Here is a 15123-nt window from a genome sequence, read left to right as displayed (position 1 = left end):
TTACTGAGCTCATATTATGGACCAGGCACAAGGGACAGGCTGTCCCAGGGAGATAGACATTTTATTTTATTTTATTTTAATAATTATTATTTTTTGAGGCAGAGTCTCTCTCTGTCGCCCAGGCTGGGGTGCAGTGGCGCCATCTCAGCTCACCGCAACCTCCGCCTCCCCGGTTCAAGCGATTCCCCTGCCTCAGCCTCCCAAGTAGCTGGAATTACAGGCATGCGCCAACACGCCTGGCTAGTTTTTTTGTATTTTTAGTAGAAATGGGGTTTCACCATGTTGGCCAGGCTGGTCTCGAACTCCTGACCTCAGATGATCTGCCCACCTCGGCCTCCCAAAGTGCTGGGATTACAGGCGTGAGCCACCGAACCAGGCCCAAGATAGACGTTTTAATTTTCATTTTACAGATGAGCAAACTGAGTCTTAGAGAAGCTGTGATTTGTCTACGTCACAGAGCCAGTAAGAGATAAAGGCAGGATTGGAGCTGATTATAATCACATTCTTCCCCATTTACTCCTCTTCTTCCTGTGTTCCTGGGAGGACTGAGGTCACATCACTCCGAGTCCTCCTTAGCTCAGCCTCCTCCTGGCTTCTCCATTGCTGTTTTTAATCTCGAGTGATCAGAAATGACAGGAGAAACAAAGATCTGGGAATGGAGATTGACTGCAGAAAATGAAGCAAACCGATGATGGCTGTGGCCCCAGCATCTCAAAGTGACCAAGAGAAGAGATGCACTGGTGGAAAATGGGATCAAGTCCCCTGCGACAAAAAAAAGTCACATGGGGATGAAGAAAGGGGCCCTAGGTCTTCAGGAGCCCTCGAGCTGTGTGAGTGTCTGGCTGCAGGTGAGAAGCGTTGCTGCGCCAGGGATCAGGCCAGGGAGGGGCCATGGTATTGGTAGTCCTCCACTAAAAGGCTGGCTCAGCACCTCCTGGGCCCCAGGAGCAAGGTCCGAGGAGGGGGAGATGAGAAGCAGCAGAGGTGGGGAGGAAATGGGGAAGGACAGCCCCTTCCTCTGCAGGTGGTAGAAGGGAGGGATACATGGTTCTCAGTCCAGCAGACCTGTCCTCCACCCCCAGCTCTGCCACTTAGGAGCTGTACACCCTCAGGCAAGTGTCTCAACCTCCCTGGGATTTGGTTTCCTTGTCTGTATAGTGACAGGAGAAGGGTCTAATCACTGAGCCCTTCCTTTCAGCCTGGAGTTGTGCCTGTTGAGATCATTTTTATACAGCACAGAATCTTGACAACAAAACGTATTTACAGAGGAGGAAACCAAGGCACAGGAGTTGAGTGATTCACCCACGGTTACCAGGTACACCAGAGAATAAGTGGAGTTGGGTCTAACCTAAATGCCTCTGCTTTTATTAATTAATTAATTATTATTATTATTTTGAGACAAAGTCTCACTCTGTCGCCAAGGCTGGAGTGCAGTGGCGCCATCTCAGCTCACTGCAACCTCTGCCTCCCCAGTTCAAGCGATTCTCCTGCCTCAGCCTCCCAAATAATTGGGATTACAGGCACCCACCACCACACCCAGCTAATTTTTGTATTTTTAGTAGAGGCAGGTTTTGCCATGTTGGCCAGGCTGGTCTTGAACTCCTGACCTCAGGCGATCCGCCCGCCTCAGCCTCCCAAAGTGCTGGGATTGCAGGCGTGAACCACTGCGCCTAGTCTGCCTGTGCTTTTAAGATAAAGGAGATAAGGGAAATGATGTGTTTCATAAGGGCTGATGCATAGTAAGGACCCAGTTACTGGGAGTGACCGCTAATTTTTTTTTTTTTTTTTTGAGACGGAGTCTGGCTGTGTCGCCCAGGCTGGAGTGCAGCGGCACGATCTTGGCTCACTGCAACCTCCGCCTCTCGGGTTCAAGCGATTCTCCTGCCTCAGCCTCCCAAGTAGCTGGGACTACAGGCATGTGTCACCACACCCGGCTAATTTTTGTATTTTTAGTAGAGATGGGGTTTCACCATGTTGGCCAGGTTGGTCTCCAACTCCTGACCTCAAGTGATCCGCCCACCTCGGCCTCCCAAAGTGCTGGGATTACAGGCGTGAGCCACGGTGCCCCAGCCTGTGCAATTGCTATTATTATTGTTCCTATCATCCGGCCAGGCTGGTGCTGGGTGCTGGTGAGGCACAAAGATCCCCAGTCTCAGGACCTCACAATTTGGCTAGAGACAAGATTAAGAACCACAAAATAGTAGTGGAAAATATCACATAGGAAATAAGCAGTAAATAAATGTGCTTAAAAAAAAAAAACAAACTTAAGGTATCAGGAATGTTCTTCCATATAAATGGACACTTTGGGAGGCAATAAACTCAGGGCATGGGCCGCAGGGTCAGACTGCAGTCTGGCCCCACCACTCACACCTTGGTCTGTGTGTGCCTCAGTCTCCTCATCTGTGGCATGAGATAATGGTTCTCACTTCCTGGAGTTGTTAGGGGGTTTAACTGAGCCCGTTAGACAAATGAGGATGATCTGTGGTGTTTATTACCCAAAGGTTGGGTGGAGGGGTCCAGGGAGGCCTAGAGAAGGGAGAAGCTGATTAGGAAGACCCCTTCCCCCATAGACCCAGCCAGAGAGGAGGGCCTGCCCAGGCTGGAAGCATGGGACGGAGAAGGGAAGGGAAAGCGGACAGAAGCGCAGGAGGTAGGGAAGGTGCTGAGGTCTGAGGGCAGGTGAAGAGTATGGCCTGGGCACAAGCCCTCTCCGTTCTCATGGCAGTGTTATGACTCCTCCCTGGGCCTCCATGCCAGCAGAGCCCCTGGCAGCAGCTGCCTCCCGAAGCCACTACTGTAATCAACATTTATTTTGCAGTCACCCACACACCCAGCTCGAGTACGGATTTATGCCAGGAGGAGTAAAGAATGCCTCTCTCATTCACGTAATGCCTTCATGTATCTCCTGGGGGGAGGGACAGCTGGTGCAACGTATCAGCTGATAGCGTACACACGCAGACATCAGACACATGCGGCCGTCCACACAGGCTATCATCAGAGGCAGGCAGGAGCAGCGCGCAAAGCCATGCCTTCCTCAGTCACCTAACAATGATACTTTCATGCAGTGAGCTGAGGGGTAGGACCTATGCAAGGGGTGGAAGCCTGGGTACCCACACTGGACCCTGCAGTTGAGCTGCGGAGGGAGATGCTCGCCTCAGATAAGAAGTTCAGAGAAGGCGGGAGCCACATGATGGGCATCCCAGCCAGGAGCTCCTGGGTCTGCTCATTACTAGGAGCTCACAAAGGAGGAGGCCAAGGCAGCCTGTTGGCTGCAGGGTAGAGGAGAGGCGGGAGGAGAACCAGAGGGCAGTGGGGCCTGGGAAGGAGAGACGGAAGAGGGTCTCGAGGGCAGGACCATGGATGTCACAGGGGAGGGTACCCAACGTGGTCAGCTCAGCCCAGAGCAGGAACTAGTTTCCTCTTCAATCCGGATCACAGAGGATGACCTGTAGGAGCTTGGAAGCCCTGTCTGCAGGGTGGTAGGCTCTGGGCCATGTGTCCCAGATGCTGGAATTCAAATGCATGTGTGTGACCCAAGGGCGAAAGTGACTTTAGTAGAGGGGATGATTATAAAACAAGCGAATGGCTGGCTGTGACTAGTGGTGTGAGGGTTTCCGTCCCCTCTGCCTGCGGTGCGACTGACTGTGGGGTTGAGGCCCCTCCGGCCAGGCCATGGAGGTAGGGTGGGGCCCCTCAGCAATTGGAAGCTCTAGAATTGGCCTGGCCACCTCCTCGCTGTACTGCTTTGGGCAAGTTGCTTCATCTCTCAGGGCCTCTGTTTTCTCAACTGCAAAATGGGGATAACAGCTGCCTTCCCCACAGGATGGTAGAGAAGATTCAATAAGGTAATGCAATGGGATATGCCTGGAACTGGGGGCTGGCTTCTGATAAATGGTCAGTTTAAGCCTTTACACCACAATATATGTACACATACAATATGAGTCACCCAGGGCCCCTAAACATTTGACATGTTCTCACTATCACTAAAAATATCTAAATCCCATGAAGGAGTGGGGAGAGGACGAACACTTGGAAAAAGTAATGAGATCAAGTGTAAGGAAGGACAGAGATGCTGGGAATGGACCCGGTCCCACGGAAGGTTCTAGCTCAAGTCCTTGGTCCACACGGGAGCCCCTGGGTTGCCAGGAAATGGGCAATCTCAACCCCAGTGCCTGTGGGGCTGTGAGGGTCCCTTGGGCCCCAGAACCTGAGGAGGACCCTGGAGAGGCGGGAAGGCATCTTCTGTGGGCTTCTAGAAGTCTCGTCACAGATGCTACCTCTTTTCTGAAATTTTACAACTCATCCAGGTAGCTCAGAAGACCACATTCCTAAACGAAGTACAAGATCCAACTCTCCTCACCAGAGTGTAGATAATCTCTTTCTGGGATCACACTCCTGCCAGCTGGAATGACCCACTCCTCAGCAAACAAACGCAGCTCAGATGGGTCAGAGGGAAGGGCTGGGTCCAAGAATGGGACCCCCACCCTGCCCCGTGCTGGCCCCGACCCCTGAAACCAAAACGCCCAGAAGCTTCTTGTGTGAAGCCCACACGCACTCACATGTGCACAGCCAGGAAGCAAGTCACCCTCCTCCCTGTGCTGATGCCAGGGCTTCGTCCTGGCTCTGAAGCACTCAGGGCCTGCCCCTGGGAACCCCGTGGGTTCTCTCCTCCAAATGCCCCCAGCTCTGGGTGCCAAAGTGAAGAAGGAAACACAAGATCTCCTGGGACTCAGAAAGACAGGCTGGGCAAGAGAATGAGCAGGCCTGCTCACACAGCTACAGCCCTCTGCAGTTTACAAAGCTTTCCCAGGCATGAAGTCATGGGATGCTCCCTGCCAGGTTCTGCACTGGCATCTGAATGGGCAGCACCTGTGTGGGCTCTTATTCCTAATGGCAAAACCGACGTTCACAGACTGGCTGGCTGCCCTGAGAGTGACAGTGCCAACCTGGGCCAACTTTCAGCACAGTGTGTCATTTAATCCTGACTGCAGCCTATGGCTGGTACTGGTGCCATCACCCTGTTTTACAAATATGGAAACTGAGGCACAGAACGGTTAATAGCTTTAGAACATTGCTCCTCACAGCACGACCCTCGAGCTCTGGGACTGCTTCCAAATACATAAGCGTAGCCTTAGAAACTTGGCTGGGTGCAGTGGCTCATGCCTGTAATCCCAGCATTTTGGGAGGCCGAAATGGGTGGATCATTTGAGGTCAGGAGTTCAAGACCAGCCTGGCCAACATGGTGAAATGCCGCCTCTACTAGAAAAAATACAAAAATCAGCCCGGTGCGGTGGTGCATGCCTGTAGTCCCAGCTACTCGGAGGCTGAGGCAGGAGAATCATTTGAACCCGGGAGTTGGAGGTTGCGGTGAGCTGAGATCGCACCACTACACCCCAGCCTGGCGACAGAGCAAGACTCTGTCTCAAAAAAAAAAAAAGAAAAAAGAAAAAGAAAAGAAACTTGTATAGCAATGTGAAAATGCTGTGATATTTGAGCCAGGTTGATAAAGTATTAGTCTGTGAGGCGTAGAAATGGACTTTAAAAAACCCCACCAGGTTTTGAAGCACCGGTTTAGATCCAGACTCTAGAGTTGAAGGCCTGAGTTTGCATCCTCTGCTACTTCCCAATGGCATGACTCTTTCTCCTTACTAAAGTGGGGTGGTACCAAGAGCACCTGCCTCACCAGTTAAAATATGTAAAGTGCTGAAAGCAGAACCTGGCACGCTTGTGGTGTTTGCTGCTATTATTAGCACTCAGCAGCTCGCCTGGGCCACACGTTAGTTACGGGAGGAGCTGGACTCCTTGATGCCAGTTCTTAGGGGAGAATCGACTGCTAGGTGCCCTGCCACCTGGGAAACTGGGGCCCTGGAAACATGCCTGCCTCAAACTCGGACCCTCGTCCTGTCCCCACCCACCCCCAGAACCTCTTTCATCTCTAGGCCAGCGTGGCTGTGCGTGGGCATCTTCATGGGCGTAAGGAGACGTTCTTGCCCAAACTGGAAAAACCTGATGGCCTTGCAGGCCTGCCCTGGCAGCTTCCGGGTTGCCAGCAGTATGCTGAGAAGCAGGTGGGGCCAGGAAGAGCAATGGTGGCCTCCTCCCCTGGGCCCAGGCTCAAATCTCTATGGTGCCTGCCCCAAAGCCATCTTGATCCCTTTCCTGGAGCATAAATCCCAAACGTCCCTAGATAAGCAGACTCCCTGCTACCTTTACCCACACCACAGCTCATCTTGTCTTGGTCACCCAGACTCAGAGGGAGGACAGCCTTTTCCCCAACCCCTTTGGAGCCCCAGACCCTCCTCCTGGGAAGTGGGTGTTAGCACCCAACTTGCACATAGTAGGGGCTCAGCACCATATCACGGGGCTTCAGATCCACCTCCCTCATTTCCACATCCAACTGACACTCTTCCTCTACCTGGGTCTGGTCACTACTGATGAGTGGGCTCATTGTCCCCACCCGTCTGGGTGTCTGGCTTGGTCACTAGCCCTTCCTTCTCCTGCCGCCCTCCATACCTGGCACTGACTCGTCCCTCCGCCCTCCTCCACCCTCCTCTAGTCTTCTTGGGGAGGATATGGCCCCTTCCCTGAGGCCCTGGGCTCTGCGGGGCAGGGATAGGACTCCCCTTTGCATAAGGCTTTACAATTTACACAGCACTTGGCTGTGAGCTGTACTGTTTCCACTCTACATCTGCTAACAACATGCAATTCACACTTCAGCAAACATTCATGAAGCGCCTACTATGGGCTGGGCACTGAGCTGGGTACGCAGGAGGAAGGGCACACAGGGTTCTGCCTTGGGAGGGTCCTGCCGGCCACACCTCCAGGCCTGATGGCTTGTGCCAGCACACCTGGGCCTGGAGCCCTCATCTCACATAGCCCAGGCCACTGACATCTCAGGGCTCCCTCCCAGAGGTAGCTTCCTTCTGCAGAGAGCCCTGTGTCCCCCCAGAGACCATGCCTTTTCCTGGGGCCCCTGGGAACCCTGGCTGGACGGGAGCCCCACAAGCTTTCTCTGTGGCCCTGGGGGACCCAGAGTGTGACCAGGTCCCTTTTTCTGTGCTTTGAGGAGGTACCCAGGGTCTTCCAGGCCCGCTGCCCGACGTGCCCCTTCTACAGGGCAGAAATGTGCCGAGACATGCGGTAGGTCCTCCAGAAGAGACCTGGCCCCTGCTACCTCGCGTCTCTTCCCTCTCTGGCCTCCAGCTCAAAGCTTTCATGCACCACAGCCCGCTGCAACCCTGGCAATGTCCGATTTCTTGTTTTCTCTCCACCCCCTAAACTGGGGCCAGATCTATGTCCTCCATCACCTCCTCAAGCTCTACTCTATGATATCTGTCCCCTCCACCAGAGCTCAGCTGTCCTCTGGAAGGTGGCAGCCCTTTGCCAAACACAGGAGCTTTGAGCTGGGCCTCCTCCTCATCTGGCAGCAGCCACACAACCCTCTCTGAGCTCACAGGCCACGCACCACCACCACTCCCTGGCCTCCTGCATCCCAGCGGCCCCTGGGCTCAGGCCTTGGCCTGAGTGGACTCCCTCAGAGAAACCATCTCTCATGGCTTCTGCGCTCACCTCAGTGTTGACCTCACTAGAGCTGCACCCTTACCCAGGTCCGCAACAGTTCCCAGACGGCAAACCTGTCAGCCGTCACTGTCTAACCTCTCCATGGCTCACGTCCTTGAAGCCATCCGCCATTTCCAGCTTCCTTCTTTCTGCTGTTCCAGTTGACCAGGCTCAAGCTCTGAGGTCACTGTAGAGTGACTGAGGTTTTGCAAGGCTTTTCTGCCTGGCAAACATGGACAGCACACCATTCTCCTAGGAGCTAGAGAGATGAAGACAACAGTCTCCGCCCTCCAGCAGCCACAGTAAATGGATGATTACCTTAGTGAGTTGACAGCTATGACATACAACTCCCAGGAGATGGATAAAGGGAGATGTGATTAAGTCTTATGTGGGGGAGTCAAAGGGGGAGGTGACACCTGAGCAAGGTTTTGTAGGTTGTGTAGGAGTTCAGCAGGCAGACTAACAGAAGAAAGGCACTCTGGGGGAGGGAGCAGTGATTGTAATGTGGAGGTGTGACACAGTGCGGGGGTTTGGCCTACACAGGTATAAACACACCTCAAGAGTAGGCAGGGCCACCTTTACTCCTCAGACCACAGTGACTGGTGGCCCCTGGGGATGTAGAAAGTGCTGGCCTTGCTGCGGTGCTATCCACTGACCCATGCACACAGGAGAGGAGCCACTGCTTTAACAGGTAAAGTAAATGTGCTAACCAGGCACACGCACATGCCTGATTGACAAGCATATGTCGGCTCTCAGAGGAGGTTCGTTTCCACAGGTTTAAAGAAAAATAAAGAGGCCTACAGGGAAAAAACCAAACTGTTCTGTTTGGATAATTTAGGAAAACCTGAGTGAAAATTCTCTATAGCTCCCAGGTGACATTTTGAAATCCCTCTGATGCGTGGGACACATGTGTCCCTGTCACAAAGGATGTGTCAACACAGGCTGCCAAACCCAAGGTGGCGGGCCCCTTATTTGGTGAGGGTTATCCAGCTCAGCTGTCGGTCCAGCTTGTGTCGTGTGGACCGGCCCCCTTCCTCACACTCAGCCCCTGTGTCATGTTCACACGGACGCCACCTAGCCCCGCCTTGGCAGGGAATGGCGACACCACGCTCCGCCAGAGTGGGGAGGCCCGTGGGACCACATCCGCCTCTGCCTTCACCCTCATCTTGAGCCCCATATTGGGCCAGGCAGAAGGGAAGGATGCCAAGGCCATGTCTAGATCCTGCCAGTCCCACCTCACGCCTTCAGTCACCTATCCCTGCTGACCCACTCAGGACTCCTCCTGTGTGACGAACAGGTCCCTACGGCTGGTGGAGACCCCCAAACACCCTTCCCTCTTTAAAGCAGGAGCCTAAAAGAAAACAGTGTCTTCAACAGGTTTTTGTTGTTTGTTGTTGTTGTTTTACACATTTAGAGCAATGGAGAAAAAACATATTCTCCCTCTCTCAAATAAACCCACTTCCCTACTGGTCTCTTCCCTTGAAAACAGAAGCACTATTCAAAAAGAAAAAGAAAAAAGAAATTTAAAAGGGAGAGAGAGAGGCAAGAGGGGAAAAAAAAAGGAACTGAATAGAAGAAGAAAAAGGGGAAAAAAGAGGGAAAGAGAGTGAAGCCTAAGGGAGGTGGTGAGGGCTCAGAATGAAAGGCAAAAGTGAAGGGAAGGAAGGCAGAGACACAAAGGGCGGGGGAGAGAAAGACAGAAGCTTTGAAAGAAAGAATGTTCTAGCGTGAATGCAGCGTGCAGGGGAGAAAGGCCTGCTTGAAAAGGAGCAGCCTGAAGCAGTGACCCCTCATTCACAGGCGGTGCCAATCACGGTGACAATGCAAACCCTTTCTTCTTTTCTCCTTCTCTCCTTTCTGGGGAGGGAGAGGCTGAGCACTGCAAGTTAATTCCTAAAAGTACAAAAAATAAATTCAGTTCCACTGGAGAAACATCAAAGAGCTGCTGTAAAGGCTTCCCCGAAACAGGTTACACCCCCAAGGGGAGTTGCTCCCTCTCCAGGGGCGCCACAGGCCGGCAGCCATCAGCTTTATTACAGGGTCGGCTGCTCCCTGCCCTGGCCGCCTGGCTGTGGCCTCCTCCCATAGGGTCCTGGGTGAGCCAAGGGAGAGAGCCCTGGCCTGTGATGCTGTGCACAAGGCTCAGTCTCCAAAGGCAGCTCGGCCCCCTGGGTGCCCGCAGGTCTCCTCTATGAGAGCCCTCGGGCCCTTAACCAGGTAGCGGGGCAGATGAGGGGGTTCTCAGTGAGGCAGCTGCCCTGGCTGGAGGTGAAAGCCGTGGCAACTCACCCTGCCTGGGCCGTGTCCACCCAGTTCTCCGGCTGCCTGCACACAGGAGGTGCTCGGTCCCCGGTGGGGTGTGGGGTGAAGGGCATTCTGAGTCAGCCCTGGGATGGGCTGTCCCCTCGAGGGACTGCTCCAAAGAAGCCCGCCGCCTGCTCAGGCTGGGCCCTCACTCCAGGAGGGTAAGCGGGTGGGTTGGCTCTTTTTACAGGCCACCAGCTGTTGGGTCTATGTCACTCACGAGGGAGGGCCTCTTTGGACGTTGAGGCGTGTTCTCACATCACGGGTCACCGCCGACCAGCACCTTCCTGAGTTAGCCAAGACCCAAAGGCTGGGTGCAATATACGTGCCCTAACCTGGATTTAGATTTCCTGTCCTTCCTGGTTGGGCCTCTGTTACACACCAGATCGTGCCGGCAAATGCCCACACACAGCCCTCAGTCTAGTGACCGTGTGTCTCCCAAAATGTCCCTCTGCGATCACAGGTGAGTGTTCCCTGTCCCCCTTCTTTGTCTTCCCTTCTCCTGCTGTCTCTCAGTACCTAGCGAGTCATGACGAAACCTGAAATGGGGTCACCTTTACGCAGCAGCTCCTTTTTCCTTCTGATCATCCAAACGCTAGATAATGAGAAACGCCGGGGAGCAGAGAGGCTGAGTGGAGGAAGACTGATTGGTTTATTGATTGATTGATTGAGCGAGTCTCAACCTTACTCATCTACTGAGCGCTCAGTCTGTGTGGAGCTCAGTGGTGTGGGCTGGGATTATAAAGCGACAAGGACCAGTCCGGAGCCCTGAGGTGCTTGGGGCCAACCTAATGCTGCCTGGAGGGGGTGGGGGGGAGACACAATGGATCAGGGAAAGAAAACCCTTCCTTTCCATCTTTATCTGGAAAAGGCTGTTATTTCGCTGGAACAGGCCCCAGGAGGGCCTCCGAACCCAACAAGGAGGCTGGAGAGAAGGGGGGGCATGGAAAATACAAAGAGGCACAGGGGCCGGGCACGGTGGCTCTCGCCTGTAATCCCAGCACTTTGGAAGGCTGAGGCGGGTGGATCACCTGAGGTCAGGAGTTCAAGCCAGCCTGGCCCACATGGTGAAACCCCATCTCTACTAAAAATACAAAAATAAGCCAGACGTGGTAGTGGGCGCCTGTAATCCCAGCTACCTGGGAGGCTGAGGCAGGAGAATCACTTGAACCCGGGATGCAGTGGTTGCAGTGAGCTGAGATCATGCCACTGCACTCAAGCCTGGGCAACAGAGCGAAACTCTATCTCAAAAAAAAAAAAAAAAAAAAAAATCAAAAACAAAGAGGCATGGGGCAGATATTTAACCTAGCCACCAGCAGCCTATAAAATCACTGTTGTGCTTCCATTTGACAAAGGCAAATCCCACAAATATTTGTTGAGCACCTACCATGTGCCATCCAGCTCCTGTGCATTCCTAGGGAGATAGCAGTGCACAAGACTCGGTCCTGCCCTTAAGAACTTATGGTGTTGTGAGAGCAACAGGCAAGAAAACAGGCAATTTTAATTTGGTGTGTAAAGGCTGCGTTAGAACAAGAACAGAGGAGGGGCAGACTTAGAGAGGCTGGAGGTTCAGGGAAGCTCTTTCAGAGGAGGTGGCATGGAGTTATTTTAATATATTAAAGTGAACAAAATTTTCATTTGCTTTGAAAAAGATATAAAGAATTTCACTGGTGGCCAGGCCCAGTGGCTCATACCTATAATCCCAGCACTTTTAAGAGCCCAAGGGAGGAGGATCGCTTGAGCCTGGGAGTTTGACACCAGCCTAAGCAATATAGTGAGACCTCACCTCTACAAAAAATAAAAAAATTAGCCAGGCATGTTGGTGCATGCTGGTAGTCTTAGCTACTCTGGAGGCTGAGGTGGGAAGATCACTTGAGCCCAGATGTTGGAGCTGTGATCATGCCGCTGCATTCTAGCTTGGGTGACAGAGTGAGACCCTATCTCTAAAAACCAACCAAACAGACAAACAAAGAGAAAAGAAAAGAATTTAACTGGCAAGATACCTAGGTGTCTAGAAAAAAAAAACAGAATTGATCAGTGAACCAATAGATAAACATCCAATAGATGTTTTCCTAATCTGTTGGTGTATTAGGAGGAATCAGAAGCACAGAGAAAAGTAACGCAGTGAGAACAAAAGAAACAATAATGAACTCTTGTTTTAAAGAAGTAATCGTAGTTCAGTGCCATGTTTAGCAGTGAATAGTATTTATACTGTGGGCTTAACCCAAAATTGCGACCTAATGATAAAACTAAGAGAGGAGGAGGAGGAATGATAGGGTGGTGGAGAGATAAGTCCTCACTTGCAACAATATGGAGGCAAAAGATAATGTCCGAAATTGATAAATCAAGAAATCACTGGAGTAACATATTATTTCAGAACATGGACGTAAATAACAGGAAGGAGGAAGTAAGCAGTTTGCAAATGGTTAACTGGCTGGAGGGCTGGAGTTGGGGAGCGAGGTGGGGCGGGGCCTGCTGCTTTAGCACTAGAAGCCCATCAGTATTGTTTGATGTAAAAAAAGATGCATATATTACTCTGATAAAAAACAAAATTAAAAGCAAGCAAACAAGCAAAAAAGGCTTGGTAAAGGAGTCACTGTGAAGTCAAATCGGGATCACTGTGAACTCCCGGAGCATTAAGCCAAGAAACAGAAGGGGCACTGTGCTTATGAACTGATGAGAACAGAAATTCCTTCAAGAAAGAACAGAATTCAGGGAGCTGCTGCCCAAGGTGACACATTTGGGTGGAAGAGGCTGGAGGGCTTGTACCTTGCAGGGAAAATCTGCGGAGTGTTCACATGTGGCTTTAACAACCCCATCCGGAGCACTAAGGACACCTCCCTGGAGACTGGGGGATCTGGGTACCAGGGTTTCTGCTGTTGCCTAGAGCTGGGGACCAGATCCTCAGACACGACTTCCTCAACAAAGGCGGTATGATCTACGTGCAGAGGAGGCAGTGGCCACAGTGCACAGGCCTGAGGCCTGGGTGACCTCACCCAGCCACAGCCCAAGCTGGCATGGTCATCCAGCAGTATGGCCACCATGCACAAAGTGCCCCCAGGCTCTGGTTCTCACTGGCATGCTGACTGTTTCCTCACCAGGCACCTCTGCTGTACATTATGGTCTTTCCTAATATGTGATAGCAAGATTACACTTGTCCAGAGATCTCTTCTCTGGCCACCTCAAATTTCCCCCAAAAGACTTAGAGAACTGCAGAGCATATGAAAAAGTTGAGAGTCCAGAATGAAACAGATGTGGGTGACTCGAAGAGGGGACTTTGGTGTCCCAGGCACTTTTTTCTTTATGGGACAGCGCCCCTTGCTTGGAGGCTTTGGACTCAGTTCTAACAAGCACGGTTATCCAGTTTCCCAGACCACGGCAGATGCAGAGGAAACCCAAGGAGGTGAAAGAGGTGCCACTCGCTGCTGGAGGCTATGATGGTGGCTGGCTAGGGTGCAGGCTGAAAATGACCCAGTGACAGTTTATGGCCATTAGGGGTGGGGCAAGCAGCTTGGACACCTCCATACCTGAGCTCAGCACCGAGGGCTCCTAATCATGACTTGCAGTCATCAAGATGGATTGGACTGTATTAGATTACATTCAATACTCGGTTGAGCACTCAGCCAAGCACGTATTGGATCCAGGAGTGAAATGAGGTGAGACCACCTCATCCAGTCGTGGGGCAAGACTCCCAGCTGTCACTGCAGAAAGCCCCACAGTGGGTCACAAGGCAGGGATCTGGTCCACTTTTGCCTAAGATAGTGGACCTGGGCATGGCCTCAACCTCTCAGAATCCCACCCACGAAATGAAGAGAACATCTGCCCTGCCAGTGAAATCATCAGGTGAAATCATCTGTACACATCAGAAGCACTTTTTTTTTTTTTTTGAGACAGTCTCGCTCTGCCATCCAGGCTGGAGTGCAGTGGCACAATCTCAGCTCACTGCAACCTCCACCTCCTGGGTTCAAGCGATTCTCCTGCCTCAGCCTCCCGAGTAGCTGGGGTTACAGGCGCCTGCCACCACGCCTGGCTAATTTTTGTATTTTTAGTAGAGATGGGGTTTCACTATGTTGGCCAGGCTGGTCTTGAACTTCTGGCCTCAAGTGATCCACCCCCTCTGGCCTCCCAAAGTGATGGGATTATAGGCGTGAGCCACCTCACCTGGCAGGAAGCATTTTATACATAACATGTCATGTTACCAAAGCCATTGCTTTTTCTGGGTGGCTGGACAGGATGCCCCACAACACACACAGGGACAGACAGCCAAAGAGATAGCCTCTCTGCCTTAGGACTTTCCTGGACACAATGAAGCAATTATCAGGTGAGTTTTGAAACTATGCAAACTTAACCTGAACATATTCGATTACACAAATCTATTGTGTAACACAGCTGGCCTTCCTGGACTCTTCAAAGCCAATGTCTCACACACACACACACACACACACACACACACACAGAGCAGGGAGGCTGTTCTAGATTAAAAGAAGGTAAAGAAACGCAACACCCAAATGTAATGCATGAAGATTTTTGGATCAGGAAAACAGCCATACGAAAACATTTTTGGAGTTCAACTGGGGAAATATGAATGGGTTGTAGATTGGATATTATTGGACAGTGGTAATTTCTTAGGTGTGATGATGGCACCGTGGTTGCAAATGGGGAAGTCCACACTCCTGAAAGATACCTGCTGACGTACTTAACGGTGGGCTGTCTGCAACTCACTTTCAAATGACTCAGCAAAACCACGTGAAAGAGAGTGAGATAAAGAAAACGTGGCAAAATGGCAACAATGAGTGAATCTGGACGAAGGTTCTTAACTTTTCTGTCAAGTTTGAAAATTTCAAACTAAAGAGTTAGGAGGAAACACACCACGTGGGTGAGTTGTGACTTATTCTTTGTGTCTGTGGGGCCAGCCTTTGGCTTGTTTCCCAACCTGCTCCATGATGAAAGTGATGCACTGGTGATAGAGAGAGGGGCCTGCTACAGTGCTCCTGATCTGCATGGCACACATAGAAAATCATATTTGGACCGTACACTGGGGTAATCGGGCAAGGCTGGTCCAAACCATCCACAGACCCACCCAGCCCAGCCGACTGCGGGTCGAGGGGAAATCAGTACCTGGGCACCACTTAGCGGCCCCAGCACTCACTTTGGTACAGCACCCTGGCTGGAAGGCCAGGCCTGTGGTTAAAGGGGAGTAGACACCAGACCCTCACTGCCTCTTCACCTCCTCATCAAGGCCTCCCTCGGGGAATTCGT

The 15123-nt window shown here is 51.9% G+C and overlaps 1 protein-coding gene across 11 annotated transcripts in view, besides 4 other annotated features; it reads right to left on the bottom strand.

The window, feature by feature from the left end:
- The window catches only part of ZNF710 (zinc finger protein 710), an 83885-nt gene that overhangs the window by 29164 nt on the left and 39598 nt on the right, over nucleotides 1-15123 (bottom strand). The gene's annotated exons all lie outside the window — the stretch shown is intronic.
- Nucleotides 6000-6049: an enhancer, noted in NCBI's record as "active region_10059". NCBI's record gives its function as "activates an Ori minimal core promoter by ATAC-STARR-seq in GM12878 lymphoblastoid cells {active_cell/tissue: GM12878}" and the evidence as "EXISTENCE:reporter gene assay evidence [ECO:0000049][PMID:35858748]".
- Nucleotides 9330-10309: an enhancer, noted in NCBI's record as "H3K4me1 hESC enhancer chr15:90585951-90586930 (GRCh37/hg19 assembly coordinates)". NCBI's record gives its function as "activates a minimal SCP1, AML or CMV promoter by ChIP-STARR-seq in primed H9 embryonic stem cells {active_cell/tissue: H9 hESC(primed)}" and the evidence as "EXISTENCE:reporter gene assay evidence [ECO:0000049][PMID:30033119]".
- Nucleotides 12117-12411: an enhancer, noted in NCBI's record as "tiled region #12348; HepG2 Activating non-DNase unmatched - State 23:Low, and K562 Activating DNase matched - State 5:Enh". NCBI's record gives its function as "activates a minimal TATA promoter and a strong SV40 promoter by Sharpr-MPRA in HepG2 and K562 cells {active_cell/tissue: HepG2 | K562}" and the evidence as "EXISTENCE:reporter gene assay evidence [ECO:0000049][PMID:27701403]".
- Nucleotides 14456-14975: an enhancer, noted in NCBI's record as "H3K27ac-H3K4me1 hESC enhancer chr15:90581285-90581804 (GRCh37/hg19 assembly coordinates)". NCBI's record gives its function as "activates a minimal SCP1, AML or CMV promoter by ChIP-STARR-seq in primed H9 embryonic stem cells {active_cell/tissue: H9 hESC(primed)}" and the evidence as "EXISTENCE:reporter gene assay evidence [ECO:0000049][PMID:30033119]".

This window comes from Homo sapiens, chromosome 15 (assembly GCF_000001405.40).
Source record: "Homo sapiens chromosome 15, GRCh38.p14 Primary Assembly".
Classification (NCBI taxonomy): Eukaryota; Metazoa; Chordata; class Mammalia; order Primates; family Hominidae; genus Homo; species Homo sapiens.
Note: the sequence above shows the minus strand (reverse complement) of the source record. Positions and strands in the feature narration are given on the sequence as shown.